At 42.9% G+C, this 7,753-nt stretch overlaps 1 long non-coding RNA gene across 7 annotated transcripts in view; it reads left to right on the top strand.

The window, feature by feature from the left end:
• The first annotated feature begins 5,380 nt into the window (after positions 1 to 5,380).
• LOC105377989 (uncharacterized) overlaps positions 5,381 to 7,753 on the top strand; it is a 347,578-nt gene continuing 345,205 nt past the window's right edge. For all 7 annotated transcript variants that reach the window (XR_002956387.2, XR_007059748.1, XR_007059747.1 and 4 more), the window contains exon 1: positions 5,381 to 5,492. This is a non-coding gene — a long non-coding RNA (uncharacterized LOC105377989). The remainder of the gene's footprint in view (positions 5,493 to 7,753) is intronic.

Genomic DNA, 7,753 nt, shown 5'->3' with positions numbered 1-7,753 from the left:
ATGAACACTTTCACATACATTGTATTATTTATTCTTATCACAATATACATATTTATATTTGAATTTAGGAAGGTTAAACAACTTGCTAAAGTTTATCCACCTAGTAAGTTACCTAGAAGAATAGGGAGGCCAGGCACGGTCGCTCATGTCTGTAATCTCATCAGTTTGGAAGGCCAAAGTGGGAGGATCACTTGAGCCCAGAAATTTAAGACAAGCCTGGGTAACATAGTGAGACACTCACCTCTAAAAAAAATATAAATATTAGCCAAGGTGGCATGTGCCTGTAGTCCCAGCTACTCAGGAGGCTGAGGCAGGAGGAATTGCTTGAGCCCAGGAATTTGAAGCTGCAGTAAGTTATGATTGTGCCACTGCACTGCAGCAGCCTGGAAGACAGAACAAGATCTTTCTACTAAAAAAAAAAAAAAAAAAAAAAAAAAAAGAATGAAAGAAAAAGAAGAATAGAGATACTTTTATAAAGACCATATTACAGGGGGTATAACTGTGTTCTCATGTGGTCAAAGGATGGAATAGACCAAGAACTGAGGCTGCAAACACTTCCATAATGTGGTACCATTGCTTTCTATCCAGCTAACAGTGGTGATTGGATACTTTAATTCTAACCAAAATATGATGACCTAGGCTGAAATTTTCAACTTTTAATTGCTTAGAAATCTCTGTAGGTGCTTTTAAGCCTATGTATTTCTACTCTTGGCTTTCTACATCTACTTTTCAGGTTCTTATTGTTTTATTGGATATATTCTTATTGAAATCTCTCTCAAATCCTATGTGGCATAAGGTATAATGGAAGGAAGGGAGGAAGGAAAGAAGAAAAAGAGAGGGAATGGGAGGTGGAGGGAGGGAAAGTAGGAGAGAATGAAAGTAAAGATGAAAGGAAGGAAAATAAGATAAACAGGAAGAAAAGAAAAGCAAACACTACACAATGATGCCTTAGAAGTGAGGAAGCTATGATTCAGAGAGGTTATGTGACTTGCCCCAAATCACTCAGTTTGCAAGCTATAAAGCATAGTTTTCAAGTCTTCTGACTTTAAAATCTATGCAATTTTTCAGGCTGACATAAATATTTGATTATCTTTATCCTGAGGCTTTCTATTTTTAAAACAATGTGTGTATTTCGTTCAGGCAAATCACGAGGCAAGCACCTACTCCACCTACTCACAATGAGAGATGCACCAGTGCCCTTCTGTTACCAATTAGGCTTCATAGTAGATTTGGGTCTTTTTGCAATGCTAATAGGAAGAGGCTGATTGAAATAAAACATGATGGATTTAGATGAGCTCTACTCCACACATGCTCCAGAAAGCACACTTTAACTTCAGGATAAAACTGATGACTTAAAAATTTAATGGCCCACAGAGCAACTAAGAAAAAAATGCAGTTTTAGAAAGAAGAAAAAAAGAACAAGCAGAAGGTAATAGAAAAAGAAGGAGGAGGAAAAGGAAAAGGAGGGTTATAAAACAAAAACTAAAGAAAAATAGATTTTTCAAAAATAAACCTTAAAATCCACTCTGTTATTTTTATTGTATTTTTGCAAGTCTTAAACAGTTCCTGTTTGGGATTCATTTATTATGGATGCAGTCTGAATTGTACTATTCTTTAGACCATATGGAATATCAGAGTATCTAGAATACACTGATCCATCCAACTTGTCATCACTATATTTCATAGTACAATTTGATTGCTGGGTTCAGAATACTCTTTTCTCCAGGGATCAAGATTTTTTTTTTGAACTTTTGATGTACACTAACAATTTCTGTTCACTGAGGAGGAAGATTAAGCTTAACCAGAAATAATAAACTCTAAGACCTCACCAAAAGCCTTTCTATCACAGTTAATGGCCACTCCATCCTTTTAGTTGTTCAGACCAAAAAACACTGAAGTCATCCCTCATACTTCTCTTTTGTTCACATCCTACTCATAACCTATGAGCAAATCTGGTAGCTTTATTTTCAAAATAGTTCGAGAATCTGACCTTCTATTACCAGTTCTACTGCAACCACTCTATTCTGCAATACCACCTTTCCTCAGCTGCTTCCTTTGCTCTTTGTCCCCTAAAGTTGATTTTCAACCTGGAGGCTAGAGTGATTCTGTTAAATATTAGTCTGATCAAAGAATTCCTCTGCTCAAATTCTCTAATGGCTCCCCACTTACCCCAGAGCAAAATCTCAAACTCACTCAAGTGGCACCTCCCTAAAGTCTTCTCTGTCCACTTTATTTAAAATTGCCACAACATTTTGGGGTCTTATAACCACAAGCCTCTATCTTATTAATGGCCAGCAGATGTAGGATGAGGTTTATAATGGTGTACAAAGTAAGAAGGCTGTAAGTGGCTAAAAATCTGGGTGTTTGGGCTATTCAAAAATAATTGGATGTATAGACATTTGAGTTTGGTGCTGGGGGACTTTTGATTTAGTGGGTTTCAGCCTGCAGTGATGAAATAAACAACCTAGAGACCGAGATACAGAGGCTGTCTTTGGCTCAGTTATATAACAGCCATTATGAGCATATTTTTGCCAGTCAGAAAGTCTCTTGGCCAAATTCTGCCTTTGCTACTTCTATTCATTATTTAATCTTGGGTATCTAATTATTCTGGCCCCATTTATTTTTACTTTAAGGATTATTTTTAGATTAATGTAAATGGTATATAAAAAGTTACCATACTTGGTAAGTACTGGATAATTTTGTTTAAAGTAATGGCAAACAATGGGGAAAAATTTTGATTGGGTGGATACCTGGCAACAGTTGGGATGATGAGTATTGCTCCAATGGCTTTTAGCAGACACAAGGAGGAGGCTTTTGTAGAAAACACACAGAGAACCAAGCATGAAACAGTAATCATAGAATACTAATAACAAAAGAGTGGATTTAAGGATTATTGAGGGAAAAACATAATAGGACTCAGTCAATAGATTGAATGCAATTTTTGGCTTGAGAAAACGGCTGGGAAGTAGTACTGTTTGCCAACATAGGAAAAACAGGAGATCAGCAAATTTCAAGGTACGAAAGAGATGGTGAGTTCAATTTAGGATATAATATGTTTGAAATGTGATATTGAGAGGTGACAGCGTGCTGGCAGTTCTCACAGCCCTCGCTCCCTCTCGGCGCCTCCTCTGCCTGGGCTCCCACTTTTGGCGGCACTTGAAGAGCCCTTCAGCCCACCGCTGCACTGTGGGAGCCCCTTTCCGGGCTGGCCAAGGCCAGAGCCGGCTCCCTCAGCTTGCAGGGAGGTGTGGAGGGAGAGGCGCCAGCGGGAACCGGGGCTGTGCAAGGCGCTTGCGGGCCAGCTGGAGTTCCGGGTGGGCGTGGGCTTGGCGGGCCCTGCACTCAGAGCAGCCGGCCGGCCCTGCCGACCCCAGGCAATGAGGGGCTTAGCACCTGGGCCAGCGGCTGCGGAGGATGTACTGGGTCCCCCAGCAGTGCCAGGCCACCGGCGCTGCGCTCGATTTCTCACCGGGCCTTAGCTGCCTTCCCGCGGGGCAGGACTCGGGACCTGCAGCACGCCATGCCTGAGCCTCCCACCCCCTCCATGGGCTCCTGTGCCGCCGGAGCCTCCCCGACGAGCGCCACCCCCTGCTCCACGGCGCCCAGTCCCATCGACCACCCAAGGGCTGAGGAGTGAGGACGCACGGCGCAGGACTGGCAGGCAGCTCCACCTGCAGCCCCGGTGCCGGATCCACTGGGTGAAGCTAGCTGGGCTCCTGAGTCTGGTGGGACGTGGAGAACCTTTATGTCTAGCTCAGGGATTGTAAATACACCAATCAGCACCCTGTGTCTAGCTCAGGGTTTGTGAGTGCACCAATCGACACTCTGTATCTAGCTACTCTGGTGGGGCCTTGGAGAACCTTTGTGTCAATACTCTGTATCTAACTAATCCGATGTGGACGTGGAGGACCTTTGTGTCTAGCTCAGGGATTGTAAACGCACCAATCAGCGCCCTGTCAAAACAGACCACTCGGCTCTACCAATCAGCAGGACGTGGGTGGGGCCAGACAAGAGAATAAAAGCAGGCAGCCCGAGCCAGCAGTGGCAACCCGCTCGCGTCCGTTCCAGGCTGTGGAAGCTTTCTTCTTTTGCTCTTTGCAATAAATCTTGCTAGTGCTCACTCTTTGGGTCCACACTGCTTTTATGAGTTGTAACACTCACCGCAAAGGTCTGCAGCTTCACTCCTGAAGCCAGCGGGACCAGGAGCCCACCGGGAGGAACGAACAACTCCAGACGCGCCGCCTTAAGAGCTGTAACACTCAGGGCGAAGGTCTGCACCTTCACTCCTGAGCCAGCGAGACCACGAACCCACCAGAAGGAAGAAACTCCGAATGCATGCGAACATCAGAAGGAACAAACTCCAGACGCGCCGCCTTAAGAGCTGTAACACTCACCGCGAGGGTCCGTGGCTTCATGCTTGAAGTCAGTGAGACCAAGAACCCACCAATTCCGGACGCAATGTGACATTCAAGTCAAGAAGTAAGTTAGGTGTTGTACTATTAAGGTTACTGGTAGTTAAAAATCCTTAAATGAATGAGATTTTTCTCTATGAAAGACAGAAGAGGCCTGGCGCAGTGGCTCAAACGCCTGTAATCCCAGCACTTTGGTAGGCTGAGGTGGGCAGATCACCTGAGGCTAGGAGTTCGAGACCAGCCTGGCCAACATGGCAAAACGCCATCTCTACTAAAAATACAAAAAATTAGCTGGGTATAGTGGCGGGCGCCTGTAATCCCAGTTACTCAGGAGGCTGAGGCAGGAGAATTGCTTGAATCCAGAAGGCATAGGCTGCAGTGAGCTGAGATGGTGCCATTGCACTCCAGTCTGAGCAACAAGAGGGAAATTTCATCCCCCGTGACCCTCCCCCTGCCCAAAAAAAAGAAAGAAGAGGAAAATCAAGAGTAAATGGTGGCTTAACAGTCATAGGAGGAAAGAATCTCAATAAAGATGATAAACAACATCATGAGTAGAAGAAAGGTCATGTAAGGTAAGGACTAAAACATGTTTGTTGTTTTTAGTAATTAAAGACATTTGCAAGATTGAATTTACTGTAATAGAGATAGAAAAACACAGATATGGTGGTTGACACAGTCCTAAAAAATGGAGTCATGGAGGTAAGTACATACTGCTCTTTGGAGAAACATGGTTGTAAGGTGAACGAAAAACTAAGGTGTACACTAGAAGGAAACAGAGCGACAAAATAGGAGATGCTGAAAGAAAAAGAGAAGTTGAAATACAGAAGAGAAGAGACGCAATGTAAGCTTCCCAAAGAAATGAGAAGATGTGATTCAAAGAACAGATGGTAGGTTTAACATTTGAAATGTAGGACAACAATTTAGCTAAAATAGAAAGGGAAGAGGTAAGGCTGGCTCTGACTATATTTACACTTGTTTGTGTTTTGGGGAGAGAAAGGAAGTGGAGAACGTTCTTGCAAGATGATCTGTATTTTCTCTCTAAAGCAGAGTTCATTTGCTGAGAATGATGGAGAAAATCAGGTTAGTGAAAGTTTGAAAATATTATTGTGGTGAATGACAGAGGAAGTGGATTAGGGATAGTTAGAAGTTTTACTGTGTAGTGTTAATAGCCCAACTGATGTGGGAGACCATAAATTTGTAGTGGCATCAATCCATGTGGTTGTGGAATTTGTTTTTAGCAGTGCTTGGCAGCCAGATATGTGACTGGAAAGGGAGTGATTGGTTGATCCAGGGTTTGAGTTTTGCTAATTAGGTGCAGAAGAAGGACAAAAGGCAAGGGAACTGATGGTAATGGCAAGAGAGATCTCTAAGTAAAATGTCATGAGCTTTATGGGGATTAAGGTTGGTAACCATCACTTAATGCCTACTTTTAGCATGGAACAAGGTTATGTTTTACATAATTTATCTCTAATTCTCACATCAAATATGTAAGGTGGGTATTCCTACTCCCATTTACAAGTGAGGAAAATGAAGCCCAGCTGAAAAATTTAGTGACGCCAGGTGGAGGATGAGAGATTAAGTAAAATCGGAAGGGTGAAGGACTAGAGTCCTTAATGAGATTGAAGAATATTATCAGTGGACCAAAAAGTTGAGGAAGCAGAAAACACATGAGATTGTGGACACAGTGTGGTAATCAAGAAATTAGAAATCTGGAGCTAGATGATTTGGGATATGATATGGACTAGGGTATCCAGACAGAGATATATAAACAATAAGGTTGGAGTGTTGAATATACTGTCCACACAGAAGTGGCAGTTGTCCAAGATTAGTAGAAATAGGAATGAAAGTGGATTGATCTGCTCAAATCTTTGATGAATCTGTCAGGAGTGGTAGAAGTGAAAAAGTGGCAATGGTACAGTAAGTGTAAAGCATGATTTTGCCAGATGTTCTGAACTTTAAGAGAAGTTAAGGTTTAGAAACAGTAACATGAAGTCCCGTTCTTTTTTTTTTTGACGCGGAGTCTGGCCGTGTGGCCAGGCTGGAGTGCAGTGTCACGATCTCGGCTCACTGCAATCTCTGCCTCCCGGGTTCAAGCGATTCCCCTGCCTCAGCGTCCCAAGTAGCTGGGACTACAGGCGCGCATCACTACGCCCGGCTAATTTTTGTTTGTGTTTTAGTAGAGATGGGGTTTTCCAGTGTTGGCCAGGATGGTCTCAATCTCCTGACCTAGTGATCCGCCCACCTCGGCCTCCCAAAGTTCTGGGATTACAGGCGTGAGCCACCGCGCCCAGCCAAAGTCCCATTCTTCTGGCTCCTTCCTTCATGTACATCCTTCTCATTCTTGGTCATCCCCTACTCCCCAAATTCTATGCTTTTCCTATTTATTTTGTGCTGCTTCCAGTCTGATCTAGCCACTTCTCACATCCATCTCTCTATCCATACCTAGACTCCAACATACAGCTCTTCTAAATTGAGCTGTCCATTTCTTTCATTTAGTGGATATTTGAATAATTCCCTTAAAAACGGGGGTGGCCTTGAAAAATCCCACCTCATGTGCTAGAATTCCCTGGAGTTACACTTCCTGATAGAGCTCATGGGTGAATTTGAACATGCTGTGGTTTGAGGACATGAATGAATGGCCACTTTTCAAGGCTCCAGCTCAGTGGTATGGATATTTTATTATGGTGCCTTTGAAGAAATTCTAGCCCAAGAATGCAGACACTCAGAATAGCTTTTTCCCAGGACCTGACTTTGGGGGTTGGGGGCGGGAGTAGCAGCAGCTTCTGGGAATGGCGGGCTGTCCACAGCACCATTGCTTCCTTAGCTCCTTTAGGCACCGTTATCAGCTTCTTAGCTCCTAGTAAGCTTGTGGTCCAATAAAACCTCTGAGGGTTGACTTTTTCCGTGCCAACTGCCATTCATTTCCTTGTATTGTGTGTTTTGTTGTATTTTAACGTAAGCCTATTTTTTCTTTTCTTACTGATTTTATCATTTTGGCCCAGCCTATCATCACACCTGCTATTTTACAGTTTCGACTTTCTCCTCCAAAGTATCAGTTATTTCTGTCAGCACTGTCCTATTTTTTTTTTTTTTTCAAATTCAAGTAGGCATGCTTTCTTTAGCTTCGTCTAAGCTATTGAGATGGGGCTAACAGGGCAAGATGAAGGACAAAGAGATTGACATAGATAATTTTATCAATACTTCTTACATAGGGTTGTTCAATCAGATATGGAGCCATCTAATTGTAGCTGCTTCTCTAAATCTTATACATAAATATATTCAGGGAAGTTCTGTCAAATCTGTTATTTAATTCAATACACATTCTGTAAAACTTCCCTAAT

Source organism: Homo sapiens, chromosome 6 (assembly GCF_000001405.40).
Source record: "Homo sapiens chromosome 6, GRCh38.p14 Primary Assembly".
Lineage (NCBI taxonomy): Eukaryota > Metazoa > Chordata > Mammalia > Primates > Hominidae > Homo > Homo sapiens.
Note: the sequence above shows the minus strand (reverse complement) of the source record. Positions and strands in the feature narration are given on the sequence as shown.